General features: G+C 34.9%; 1 annotated feature.

Annotated features, from left to right (window-relative positions):
* Nucleotides 12,262-13,025: an enhancer, noted in NCBI's record as "OCT4-NANOG hESC enhancer chr11:104651953-104652716 (GRCh37/hg19 assembly coordinates)". NCBI's record gives its function as "activates a minimal SCP1, AML or CMV promoter by ChIP-STARR-seq in primed H9 embryonic stem cells {active_cell/tissue: H9 hESC(primed)}" and the evidence as "EXISTENCE:reporter gene assay evidence [ECO:0000049][PMID:30033119]".

Genomic DNA, 14,810 nt, shown 5'->3' with positions numbered 1-14,810 from the left:
ATCGATTATCCTTAAGGAAGAGGTGGAAGAAGGTGGGGTGTACAGATGTAAGACTGAAATTGGAAGATGCGACATTGGAATTTTCTCTTATCAGTCTTTCCACATTTGTAAATATTGATCCATAATTTTAAAAATAAGTATAATTTTTTAAAAAATTTAAAATGCAAAGGGGAAATTGTGAGTCTTTTTGACTTCCTATAGTTAATATCAAACACCCCAACATATTAATTTTTTTTCAAATTTTTTACTCCCTATTAGTGACATATCAACAGTAAATCATGTTCGCACCATGAAAGATGATTTCTCTAGGTTTCAGAAGACTCAGAAAGTGTGCCAGTTGTGTTTGTTGATAATCAGTATCTTGCCTACTCTTCTAGACCTGTTGTTTGATTGTGGTAGTATAAAGCCTTAAAATATTATTTACCATATACCCTTTCTAATAGCTTTCTATTTTAATTCTTCAGTGGAAGGCACTCAGGTAAAATTGGATAGACTGGGGAGAAGGAGAAGCCATTTAAAGGAAACCTATTTTTACCCACAGAACATTTCTGACACCAAATGTTTATCAAGTTTTCCCGCACCAACTGACTCACCAACTGTACAGATACCAACTTGATGTCCTACAGTTTAATTCTGCAACTACTTGGAGTTAGTGCAGATCCAAGAGATTAAGGGCTCAGTCCCACAAGTCTGTTTACCTCTTCAAATGCCAATCACAAGATCCAGGTTGTCACCTATACTTCTGACCAACCAGTTATAAATCAGAACTTCTCACCCTCCTCATGTCAAATAATTTGCTAAAACAGCTCACAAAACTCAAGCAAATATTTACTTAAATTTACCACTGTATTGTAAAGGATATTAGAAAGAATACAGATGAACAGCCAGATGAAGAGGTATGTACATAGAATGGGGACTGAGGGTTCCTGAGCACAGGAGCTTCTGTGCCCAAGGAGTTGTGATGTGACACTCTCCAAGCACATCAATATATTCAATGCCCAGAAGTTCTCTGAACCTGTAGTTGAGGGATTGTTATGGAGGCTTCATCACATAGGCATGATTGATTACTAACTCAATTCCCAGCGTCTCTGAGGCTGAAAGTTTCAAGTTTCTAATCATGGCTTGGTCTTCCTGGCAACCAGCCCCCAACTTGAAGCTGTCCAGGACCCTACCAAGTGTTGCCTCATTAGAACAAAAGATATTTTTATCACCCGGGAAATTCCAAGAAGTTAAGGAGCTCTATGTCACAAACCAGGGTCAAAGGTCAAATTGAACAAAGGATGCTCTTAGCACCCTATCACTCAGGGAACTACAGGGGTTTTAGGAGCTCTATGTCAAGAGACAGGTGTAGAGACCAAATATATATTTTCTCTTATGCCACAGCATTATTTGCTATCAGCAGATGAAAGCATATATAAGTGTGTCTGTGGCAACTGGCAGAGCACAGAAGTAGAGTTTTGCTTACAGCTTTCAGGCTTCCTCCTTAGAAACACTCACTTAGGTATGGAAGCTTTGGTGGCAGCTTCTCTGAAATTCCTCCATGAACAGGAATGACACTAAGCAGGGATGGTGATAATTGCCGATTTATTCATCTGAGTGTTGGTTACCAGAGTGCTTAGTGTGTGAAAATCATTGTGCTCTATACTATGATATGTGCACTTTTCTGTGTATGTGCTACTTCACTCCAGTAAAATGTTAAGACAAAAAAAACAAGAATAGAACATGGTAAAAAAAAAAAAAAACTATCTATATGCCTTTTCACATTTGTTTCAATTGAACAAGAAAAGAAGGTCTACCCTGTGGTGCTGAAAGACAGAAAAGGCTGATTACAGATAAATTCATATCTGCATTATTTATGGATATCTAAACTGCAAGTCAACCAATTAAGACCTCAGTTTTAGATTAACCCTATGCCAAATGCAGAGCAATGATAGATCTTTCTTATGTGAATTGAAGCATTCTATGGTTCACATTCAATTTGAACTTTGATAGCAATTTTGGGGATTCTATCAGGGCCTATACCTGCATTAGGAATTGTGAAATATTGTGAGAAACATTTCCTGGCTCATTTCAGTTTGGTATATAATAACTCAGCTTCACTGGTAATGGTATCTCAAGGTGGAGGCCATAAAACTTGTGCATGAAAGAATTACAGGGAAAGAAATATGAGCCTCACGTTCCGACCTGAGGGTCAGAGAGTGGACTTGTAGATACAAAACTCAGGGAGACTTCTTCTTTGGAGGAGGATTAGGATAGGGAATTATGTGTATGAGGGAAAGGAATTAGGAGTTGCTCTGTTTGACAGATTTAACCCATTTTAGAGCCATCAAAGTTAAACATAATGTAGACTATAAAATTACATTTTGATGAGACATTATTTAACACATTGATCTTAACATACTGATGCATAAAATAATATATATGTTTTTGGAGATAATTTGTAATATTTTAGATATGGGGAATTATTTGTCATTAGGTTAATTGGTCATACAAATGTTCAAATAATCACATCAATTCTAACACAATCAATCTTAAGTATTATATATAAAATATATAATACATATTTATACACATAACAAATATTATTATATATACAGACATAAGTATTATATATAATTAATAATATTAAAATATACTTAATCATATAATTATAAAAATATAATATATAAGTATTATATATAATTATATATAAGTATTATATATAATACTTATATATAATTATTATATACAACACTTATATATAATACTTATATATAATTATTATATACAACACTTATATATAATACTTATATATAATTATTATATAAGTGTTACATATAACACTTTTATATATAAGTATTATATATAAGTATTATATATAACACTTATTAGATATAAGTATTATATATAACACTTATTAGATATAAGTATTATATATATTATATATAAGTTATATATTATATATGTATTATATATATTATATATAATATATGTAAGTATAATATATAATAAGTATTATATATAATACTTATGTCTGTGTACATACATACCCTAATCAAATATAATACTTATGTCATGTGTACTCATATATATACCCTAATCAAAACTAACATTGTATACTGTGTTCTATTTCACAGAGTATTTTGACACTTTCCTTTAGGAATGACGTTACATATATCAAACATTCTGCATGCACTACATAGAGACCAACAATTCCTACGAAATCATAGTCAAAACAATCTGTTCATATTTCCCAAAGAAAATGTGGTTTTAAATTTTTAAAAATGGTAATATAAGACAATATTATCTTTGTAAGAAACTCAAACATTACCAAACAAAGAAAATACTATTAGAAAGTCCTTGATCTCCTCCCTGTTATCCACTTAAGACCATAGAGGAAAAAAAAAAACACAATTATTAACAATTACTATGCATTTTTCATACCTTTTTTATGCTTTACAAGTCAATATGCATGTATCTACCTTTTTCTTCATACATAATAGGATTTTTAAAACTTAAATGGATCATTGTTTTCTGTAACTCTTCCTCGCACTTAATATATTCTGAAGTGGTGTCCCATGTTAGTAGACATATATATATATATATATAAATATATTTAACCACTGCATATTCTTCAACATTATGAATGTATCATAATTTTGTTGACACTTATTTCCAAAATGTTCACTATTATAAATAACAATATAAGAACTTACAACTTCACATAATATGCTTCTAAGCACAGGCTCTGGGGTCAGACTTTTCTGCTATCTAAGTAGTGTGAACCCTTGACTGAGGTATTTCACTATTTTGAGATTAAATATTCTTAACCTATAAAAAAGAAACAATAAGTACCAACATCACAGGGTTACTATGAGTATTAAATAAGTAACAGGCCCTTAGCATAGAGCCTGCAATCTAGTAAATATTTAGCAAATATTAGATAATACTACTATATACATATAGTTAGTGTATAAGGCATCTTTATAACATATATACTTTATACATAATGTATAACATTTATAATGTATTTTATAACATATAAAATGCCTCTAACATACTGAGATATAAAATGCTCAATATATGTTAGTATATTTTTAATACATTCTCTATTAACACTTAATGTTTACAAGAACTATAAAAGTAGTTAAGAACTATGAAAGTAGTACTATAAAAGTAGTTCTTATAAACATTTATAGTAGTTTCATAAAAGTGGAACACTGAAAAGTACCAATCATTTGTTAGTAATGTCATTTGTCAATATTTTCAGCCAGTCAAGATATTCTTGATATAATATTTACACATTTTTATGAGGTACATGTCATATTTTGTTACATGTATAGAATGTGTAGTGATCAAAGTCAAGCTATATAGGGTATCCATCCTCTTAAGTATTTATCATTTCTATGTGGTAGTGACATTTCAAATCCTCTCTTCTAACTATTTTGAAATGTACAATACGTTATTATTAACTATAGTCACCCTACTCTGCTATCAAACATTGGTACTTATTTCTTCAATTTAACTGTATGTTTGTACCCATGCACCAAGCTCTCTTCATCTCCCACCCCACATAAACACTCTTCCCAACCTCTGTCATTCTCCTCTCTCCCTCTATGAGATCAACTTTTAATTCCCACATAGGGCATATGGCAACCAAGCAATACTTGTCTTTCTGTGTCTGGCTTGTTTCACTCATTTAACATAATGATTTCCAGTTTCCTCCATGTAGCTAAAAACAACAGGAATTTCATCGTTTTTATGGCTGGACACTATTCCACTGTGTCTATATACCACAGTTTCTTTATTCACTTATCTGCTGTGGGACACTTAGTTTGACACCATATCTTTGCTATTGTGAATGGAGCTACAGTAAACATGCGAGTGCAGGTGTCCCTTTGATATAACTATTCCCTATCCTTTGGATAAATACCCTGTAAAGCGATTGCTAAATCATTTTCAACTACATATAGTCTCTTGTTTTATGAACTGTTTTTTTTCAATTTTATGAGCACAAATTACTCAGCCTTTTCCTTATGGTTTTAGGGATTTGTGTCCCGCTTAGAAAAACATTTTACAAAAATTAAAACAATATTACCTTATAGTGGACTATAATTTATGTATTTTTCATGTTACCCTCTAATCCCTTCTGGAATATATATTTTTATATCACGTGAAGTAGGCATTCAGTTTTAATTTTTTTCCAAATGAAAAGTCAATTGCTTTTAAGTCATTTTTATTACTTTGCCCCATGGATTTGAAATGTCACTTTTAATGATATAATAGATAACTTCACATGCATGAATCTCTTCATAGACTCTTTATTTGGTCATTGAGATTAACTTTTTTTAAATTTTGAGATATATTTGGTTGCTTTGAATATGAATGTTAACCTTCCCATGTAGACATAGTTGGAAAGATTGCCAACCACAGGTATGTATTCCTTTTTCCAGAATAGCATAACAATCTTCGGTGTATTCATTATTCTACAATATGGGTTGGGGCCTGGAGAAAATTAGAAAAGTGTCCCCAGTCTGTCCCCAAATTTAACTATTAGAAAGTCCTTGCTCTCTTCCCTGTTATCCACTTCAGACCACAGAGGAAAAAAATAAAAATAAAAACACTTATTAATAATTACTATGCATTTTAGTACCTTTTTTATGCTTTTCAAATCAATATGCATGTATCTACCTTTTTCTTTTCCCTCTCTGCTGGAGCTGATCTTGTCTCTAATTATTAGAAATGGACATGAAATGCTGCAGGCTGTGTAGTAGATATTTTCTGTCTAGCCTCTACTTTAGTCATCACAACTTTCCCCCAATCATTAGGGGATTTGCAAATATTAATTCTTTTTTTTCTTTTTGTCATTAGCCACGTTGACTAGTTCCTCTGCCTACTTATTTTCCTTTTTAGGCCCAAACATTATATCCTTTGCCTTTTGAGCCCTACAAGAGTATCTCTTCCTACTATATTTTCTGAATAGATTCTACTTTTTTGCAGTAGTTTCTATTATCTGTTTCACAGAGGAGAATGCTGGGTGAGGCTCAAAGAGCTTCAATGACTTGCCTCAGAAATGACAGGATGGACCTTGTGTAACCCAGTGATGTATTCATAATCGACAGTTGCCAAGTTGATGCTCCATTATTACCTTGGTAAATTGTTGTAAATATTTGTGGGTCATGTTAGATGCTAGCAGTAGATCAGTAGATAAGGATTCTTTCTAAAATGATTTAAGGACTTGGCATACCCTAAGGCCTGATTATCCGCCTTTGAGGTGCTTGTAGTAGCGTGGGAAGAATGCACTATCTCCTTCTACTCCAGCATAACCTCTCAGTGTATGAAGGAGTGTAATAGTGCATGCATCATCTGTTATGGTGTGTGCCATGATCACTCAACTCAAAATAATGCTCTGGCCCTTTAAGTTAAATAATAGTGTAAATGGGTGTTCAAAAGTGTTGAAAAGTAGGACAGTGATCCAGAAAGACTGAGGTACTTGCTTTAAAGGGGAAGTATAGCTCTATAATCTGTAATTTAACTGTACACATTTGCATGCCTCTTTATCTCACTCTGAAAAGTTAATGTAATTGGAATTAACAGTTCATAGGAAAATAAGTGATTTCCAATGACCATTATGGCAAATTATGAGACCTTAAATGATAACTATGTTTTTCATTAACATATTATTTGGCTAAGATGAAGATTAATAATTTTCCTTCATCTATTATAAGGATATTAAATTTTTATTTCATTAACAAGTTCAAGCTATAGGGTTCAGCCAAGCCTCTGAAATGCCACCAAATTTAAGTCTATAAAGAAGTATTTTATATTATAATTTGAACTGTAAAAAAGAAACATTTTATTTGAAAGGGTAAATTTTAGGACTTCAAATTTAAATTAGAAAAAAATTGCTTTCTCTGTTACTGTACTTAATTTTATCTAAATGAACATAAAACAAAAATATATATGTATATATTTGAAGGTTCAAATGTAGCTTATTTTCGAAAACCAATCTGGTTAAATCATCTTACAGACATATTGTAATAAGCTAAGTGGTAAGAACTTAGTATAGTTTAAACAGAAAAACTGAAAAGAAGTTGAGCTGCAGAGTTAATTAGTGTAATATTTATAAAATGCTTGGAACTAGAAGTCAGCAGAGATTTCGTCTAAATTTTATGGAAACTAACTCTGTAACATGGGAAAGCCAATTACCATTCTGCAGCTTAGGTAAAAGGAGAAACTTGGAATCAAAGTCTTGAAGTTCTCTTCCTGAAATAAAAAATGAGTAAATGCAGTCTCAATGTGATAGCATAGTTGTTATCACATATATTTATTTTTGCTAGTTTAATGTTGAGTCTATTGTAATCCATCTCACTTGAATGAGAAAAAAACATCATTTTTTTTGCAATAACACAAAGGGTTAACAGAAAATAGACTAAAATTAACCTTTCTTATATTTGTTTCTTTCAGAGTTTTGATGATCCTTTGATATGCCATGACCCAACAGGTGCTGTATATCCATTCATTAAGTATTTATACATGTATTCCTTTATAAGCAACACATAAGCCAAGTACGTTCCTTTTTTTTTTTTTTTTTTTGAGATGGAGTCTCGCTCTGTCACTCAGGCTAGAGTGCAGTGGCACGATCTCGGCTCACTGCAACCTCCGCCTCCCACGTTCAAGCGATTCTCCTGCCTCAGCCTCCCGAGTAGCTGGGACTACAGGAACCTACCACCGTGCCCGGCTAATTTTTGTATTTTTAGTAGAGACAGGGTTTTACCATCTTGGCCAGGCTGGTCTTGAACTCCTGACCTCGTGATCCACCCACCTTGGCCTCCCAAAGTGCTGGGATTACAGGCTTGAGCTACCACGCCTGGCCAAGCCAAGTACTTTCAAGAACCCTGTTACTTGGAAAAGAATGTGATGATTACTAAAATTTTTTTAAAAAATTCCAGCATTGGACATTAAAAAACATAATGTACATAAAATAGTATTACTAAACATACACCTTAAGTGTTCAAAATATACAGATATCCATGAAGAATATATTTCAGATGATTTTTTCACTTATTGAAATATAAATTGATATTAACAAGAAAGTCTCATTAACTATTTCATCTGATCAAAACAAATCTCTCTGTTTTATGTTTAAGAGTGTAGCACTAGTCCCAATAATACCAATATTATTATAAACAAAATTTATATCCCTTCTTATCATTTGTTAACCCCTTAAAATTGTCTTGATAATGTAGAAAGTTTAAATCAATACTGTTTGCAAGGCTGGTTGTGTGGTGGCTCACGCCTATAATCCTAGCACTTTGGGAAGCTGAGGCGAGAGGATTGCTAGAACCCAAGAGTTTGAGACCCACCTGAGCAACAAAGTGAGACCACCCTCCCCATCTTCACAAAAAGTAAAATTAAAAAAAAAACAGTACAAGAGTTTGAGACCCACCTGAGCAACAAAGTGAGACCACCCCCCACCCATCTTCACAAAAAGTAAAATAAAAAAAAAAATAGTGATGTGCCATGGCATGCACCTGTGGTCTCAGCTACATGGGAGGCATGGGAGGTTGAGGCAAGAGGATGGCTTGATCCCAGGAGGCTGATGCTGCAGTGAGCCAGCCTGAGTGACACAGCAAGACCCTGTCTCAAAAAAATAAAAATTGACTGGTGAGAATTTCTTGTTAACAAATTTAAAAATTCAATTCCAAAATTTAGAGTTGTCTTAAAAGGAAAGTTCATCAAAACCAAGTGATTATTATGGTGTCAATCACCAGAAAGTATAATTTTAATTATTTCCTTTAAAATAATATTAATATAGTAAGAAAATGAGAACACGCCTATTTTATTTTTGAAAATGTTTTTTTGAAGAAGACCACAGTGACTCATGTTGTTTAGGTCTCTTCCAAATTTCATTTATAGCAGAAAAATACATAAATGCAAGTTTGTATTTACTTAGCATAAACAGGCTTTTCACCTTTGCTTATGTATAGACTAGCAAGAGCATAGCACAGGGAAATGTAATGAGTGAGGTGCTAGGAATGTGGTGCTTTTGTAACAGCACGTGGTTTTTAGAAAGGTTTTATAAATAAATATATGTGAGTTATTTCCTATTATCTTTTTAATCAAAACAAATATATAATTATTAAATATAACCCTGAAATTATTTTTATGAAGATTAAATAGAATAAAACTAAAGGGCTTTGAAGTTCACAAAGTCTCCTAAAAGAATGGAAGTATGAAGTTCCAGAAATGATAAATTTTCATTTTCCCTCTAAGAAAACAACAAATCAAACCACTGCAAACCAGTAGCATATGTGGTAAAATTATTGTTGGGGAGGGGCCAATGGGGAACATGAAAGAGCCATGGTTTCCTCCCAAAACTTTGAAGCAATGAGAACAAAGTTACGTGATGCTGTCTTCATTCTAGAATTTCAAAATTTTTAAGCATTTTCTTTCATATACTGTCAGAAAAAAATGGAAACCCTGGAACTGCTCACCTACCAGAGGTAGGGCTTACTTAACGTTTCTGTGGCAACCTCATATTTTTTCTCTAATAGGTTTCCCCTATCTATTTGTGAGTTACACATGGGTCTAAGAAGTAACCCTTCCTAAAAGACAGTCATTAAGATAGCAGGCAAGTTCATTTTCCCTAGTTATACTTAGCTGGGCAATCTTGTTCCCAGCCTGTGTACTCATTGATGCACCTAATGTAAGATGTATATATACATCTTAATGTCTATTTCTTTGTATGAATTTAATGCTTTATAATATTGAGGTGTTTTGTTTTTTTAAAAAAAAATCTCATTACAGTCAGATGAGCACCAGTTTGGGGAATCAAGATTTTAGAAAACTCATCTCAGTCAGACAACTTCTCTTACCATCATGACCCTTGTGGATTTTACAAGATGTCTTTTCCTTCCCTAATACCATAAACTTACCTTGAAATCCCTCAGTCTGTGAGATGTAAAATATAAACTCTGTTGGTAAAACTCCATTTCAAACATCCCAGTCTATTTCACACTGCTAAAATAATTTTTTTTTTCAGAGATAAGGTGTCCTGGGAGTGGAGAAAGGGCAGTTTCATACATGTTGTCAGCATGTCACATGTTTTTTCAATATTTAAGGTAAGGATCTGAGATATTTTTACCTTTACCACACTTGTTAAGATTTTCCCTGACCTTATGAATTCCTGAAATTTGAAATCCAATTGAATTTTCATAGATATCTCCTTGAACATTAAATTGAAATTGTCTTTAAATAAGACTCTAGCTACAATCTTAACATAAGGATGGGATTCTTCCCCCTGCTTTGTGTTTGCTAACCACTGGTTAGCTTGAGTATTATGGTTACCATTGATAATAATGAAAGAATCTATCTTTACTTCTTCCCCATTTGCTTTTTCTACCGAGAATGTCTTAAAGTTGGTGAAATTCTCTGGATTATAAATCTTGTTTGTGCATAAGCATTACTGGAAAAGCACCTAGCTCTCTATATACTCCCAGTGACAGAGTTTGAGGAAAGTTTTCACTATAATTCTTCAAAGTACAGAAGTAGACATTTGAAGAGTCTGAACAGTAGAGGAGCTTAGGGCTTTTCTGGGAGAATGTTGAGAATTCTCAGATACTCAGTTATTTCATATGTAAATAATTTGTTTATTTGTGAGGATCCATAAGCAAGTAACATAAGATGTCTCAAGAATTGCATATCAGGTCTCAGAAAGAACTGAGTACACAATAGGACTCACTCCAGTTCTAGTGTCTGTCAGAGACTCCAGTGATGCAGCAGTAACTGTAGAAAGTAGCCTTTATATCCTCTAAGAATGAAGACACTGTTTGTTATGTATTCTCTCTCCTCTGCTCTGCTGATTCTCTCTCGCTCTCTTCCTGTCTTTCCCCACTGAAGCACGCACAGACACAAAATCTCCACAAAACCTGAAGTGAATATCATTGGGTGAGGCAGTCCCCATTTGATACAGACATCTTCTTGGGCTGTACTTTTATACCAGGCCACCTAATAGGCCATTGACAAACCTATTGATAACAGGCTTTAAGTGAACAGCTCACTCCTATTCCAGTATATAGTGATGGTTTTGGGACAAGAGGGAAACAAGAGGGAAAGTATTTTAACATTTGGTGCTGAGATTTTTCAAAATGTATGGTGCCCAAAGGAAGCTCAGAAAATCATGTTCTTCTTTATAATATTTTGTTAATCCGAGCTGTGAAGCAGGTTCACTGTACATTGGTTACCAAGCTGTCTGAGTCTGGTGAGACAGAATACCCCCCATACACACACATACACACACACGGACAAGTTATATGAAGTGGAATTATTACTTACAGATAGGCAGCAGTATATGACAGAAGACTGGGATTTAAGATGAGCTAGGTTGAGGAAAGCTGCCTGAGGCAGATAAAATCTGGTCTGTGCATGTCCCAACTGCACCACAGCTCAGGGACTCTGAAAAGCAGCTCAACTCTTTGGGTTTTATACCCTGGGAGCAATAAGACATGCTGGGTTAAAATGTTGAAGGACATCCTGCTTCTAAGCGGGGCTGGAAACAAGTCAGAGTTTTTCTAGTCAGCCCTTCCCTATCTCAGCATGTTTAATTCCCAGAACATTCTAGAGTTATTCTGAAGGACTACCTGCAAGAATAGGGTAGAGCTGGATTGGTCCAAGGTCATCCAGAAGACTGTCCTACAAGAGTATGCACCAGGGACCAGCAGCACAGCATCACCTGGGCACTCAATAGAAATGCAGAATCTCAGGCTCTTCTCTGAGGGACTGAAACAGAGTCTGCATTTTTAATTGACTTCATTTAACAAGTCCTCCAGGTGACTCATATACATATTAAAATGTGAGGAGCACTGCTTTTGCCAAGCTTCCACTAGTCTCCAACTTGACTTTTAATAGACTCTTAATAGTCAATGCATCTGTCTAGATCTTAGATTCCTCTTCATTATGCTAAAATTTCAGGTCTGAAAGGGTCTATAAAGGAATGTTTTACATTTTTGAAGAAAGTAAAGTAAGTAAGAAACACCTCTGTCTGGGGTGCATATTCTGACTCTTAACAGCCTGTGATATATAAGTATGGAATGTATAATCCACTCACTTATGTCAATTGAAGAAAATGATGAGACAAGTCTCAATCATTTTAGGAGATTTATTTGCCAAAGTTAAGGACACACCCTGGGAGACAGGTCTATGCCCTTCTCCAAAGATGATTTGAGGGCTCCAAATTTAAAGCGGAAAGGGTGGGAAGCACACAGTTTTCACATAAGCAAAAGCGGGCAGAGGAACAATGTGGGGAATCTGCCTTTTACATATGAAAACACAGACAAAATGCAGTACAGGAATAATCAGATATGCATTTGTGTCTGGTGGACTGAAGTGGCTGCACCTGTGAAGATAAGCGATCAATTTGCATTGCTATGGTGAAGTTTTAACAGCTCACCAGGAATTTCCTCATGGGCAAAATATGGGGGAGGCATATAGCCTTTCATCTTGTAGCCATCTTATTTAGGAACCAAAAGGGGGAGGCAGGTTTGCGTGACCCAGTTCCCAGCTTGACTTTTCCCTTTGGCTAAATGAGTTTGGGGTCCCAAAATTTAATTTCCTTTCATACTTATAAAAGCAGTGAGAGCACCACAGTGTGTACAGGTCCAAGTGAGAACTTAAATGGACCAACCACTTAGGTGCTTTTATTAGTGACTAATTAATGCTTTGGCTGATGTCAACTTACTGAAGAAACAAAATAGTCTTATTCCAAGAAATAATTTAATGGGAATATTTTACCAGCCAAGTTGAGTTCGAGTTTTACAAAATTACTAACTAGAACTTAATGAACAATTTTAAAGTTGCCTCAAAAAAAGTATAAAATATTTTCATTTTGTTCAAAATGAAGAAAATTTAACTCTGTAAGCCAAAAATAACATTAAAGCTCCCAACCAACTGAATGGATCCCTCTCTTGGCCAAGAGCATTGCAAAGTAAATCTGAAAAACTAGGTCAAGCCATGATGGAAAGAGCAGGTCAGACATCCCTCATTTTACCCTTCTCTCTCTGGAATTCAGGTATGGATGACCAGCATTAACATTAAAACAGAGATCTTAAGACTGACAAAACAGACTGTTTGCAGCAATAAGATACAAAATTCCAACCTGACTCTAGTGTAAGATCCCATGACACATAGTGGGACCCGAAAGAAATCCAAGTATTTTGCCCCAGAATATATTTTTTAACATATTTTGAAACAGCTCTGCAAAGTTGTCTCTTGTGGGGACATCTATATTCTGTAGAGAACCCTCTTCCCTTTCTAGGTCTTTTCCTGATCCAAAAGAAAGTTAACTAAGAGACTGACACATTTTAGGATGTGATGAGACATTTTCTATTTATTCTCTGAAGTCTGCTACTTGGAGACTTCATCTACATAATAAGAACCTTGGCTTCCACAACACCCTTTATCTTAACTACAAGCATTTATTTCTGTTGACTTCAACTCTTCAGGCAAAGCTTTCCCTTTCAACCAATTGCCTTCAGGAAATTTTTGAATCTACCTATAACCTGGAAGTCCCCAGTCTACCCTCTTTAACTCCATCCCTTGCTTCAAATTTTCCTTCCTTTCCAGACCAAACCAATGTACACCTTACATATATTGATTGATATTTGCCTGTAACTTCTGTCCCCCTAAAATGTATAAAATCAAGCTGTAATCCAACCACTTTGGGTACATGTTCTCAGAATCTCTTGAGACTGTACCTCAGGCCTTACTCAATCATATATGGCTAAGAATAAATCCCTTCAAATATATTACAGAGTTTGATTCTTTTGTTATTCACAATTAAATTCAATACGTTTGTCATACCACTTTTTCTTGTAATACTAAATATTTGTGCTCACTAATCAATATTTAAAAATCAAATTTCTAGAGTAATCTAATATTTAAAAAATTCAGGCCTGGTGCAGTGGCTCATGCCTGCAATCCCAGCACTTTGGGAGGCTGAAGAGGGTAGATCACCTGAGGTCAGGAGTTCTAGACCAGCCTGACCAACATAGTGAAACTCCATCTCTACTAAAAACACAAAAAATTAGCTGGGCATGGTGGCAGGTGCCTGTAACCCCAGCTACTCGGGAGGCTGAGGCAGGAGAATCTCTTGTACCCAGGAGGTGGAGGTTGCACTGAGCCGAGAATGCACCGTTGCACTCCAGCCTGGGTGACAGAGTGAGACTCCATCTCAAAAAAAAAAAAAAAATTCAAGAGCAATGTTTGCAATTCTTATGCCTATATCATGAATAGCCCCAAATAAGAAAATGTTGCTTGGTTGACAAATTGTTTCCCTAGATGAAAGCCTATTTTTCTAACTTTATAACACTGTGTTAATCTATTTTTGGATTGCTATGAAGAAATACTTCAGACTGGGCAATTTATTAAAAAAAAAAAAAGAGTTTAATTGGCTCATGGTTCTTCAGGCTTTACAGTAAGCATGATGCCCACATCTGCTCAGCTTCTTTGCGGGGGGGGGGTCTCAGGAAGCTTTTACTCATGGCAGAGGGAAAAGTGGAAGCAGGCACTTAAAATGGCAAGAACAGGAGCAAGAGTGAGAGTGACGGGGAGAAGTGCCACACTTTACAACAACCAGCTTTTACAAAACTCACTCACTAACACCAGTACAGCACCAAGCCATAAGGGATCTGCCCCCATAACCCAAAAACCTCCCACCAGACCCCACCTTCAACATTGGAGATTACAATTCAATATGAGATTTGGATGGGTAAAATATTCAAATGATATCACACGGTATTCTGATACTCTTATTTGTCTTCATTAGGGTGTGT

This window comes from Homo sapiens, chromosome 11 (assembly GCF_000001405.40).
Source record: "Homo sapiens chromosome 11, GRCh38.p14 Primary Assembly".
In the NCBI taxonomy this organism is placed as follows: domain Eukaryota; kingdom Metazoa; phylum Chordata; class Mammalia; order Primates; family Hominidae; genus Homo; species Homo sapiens.
Note: the sequence above shows the minus strand (reverse complement) of the source record. Positions and strands in the feature narration are given on the sequence as shown.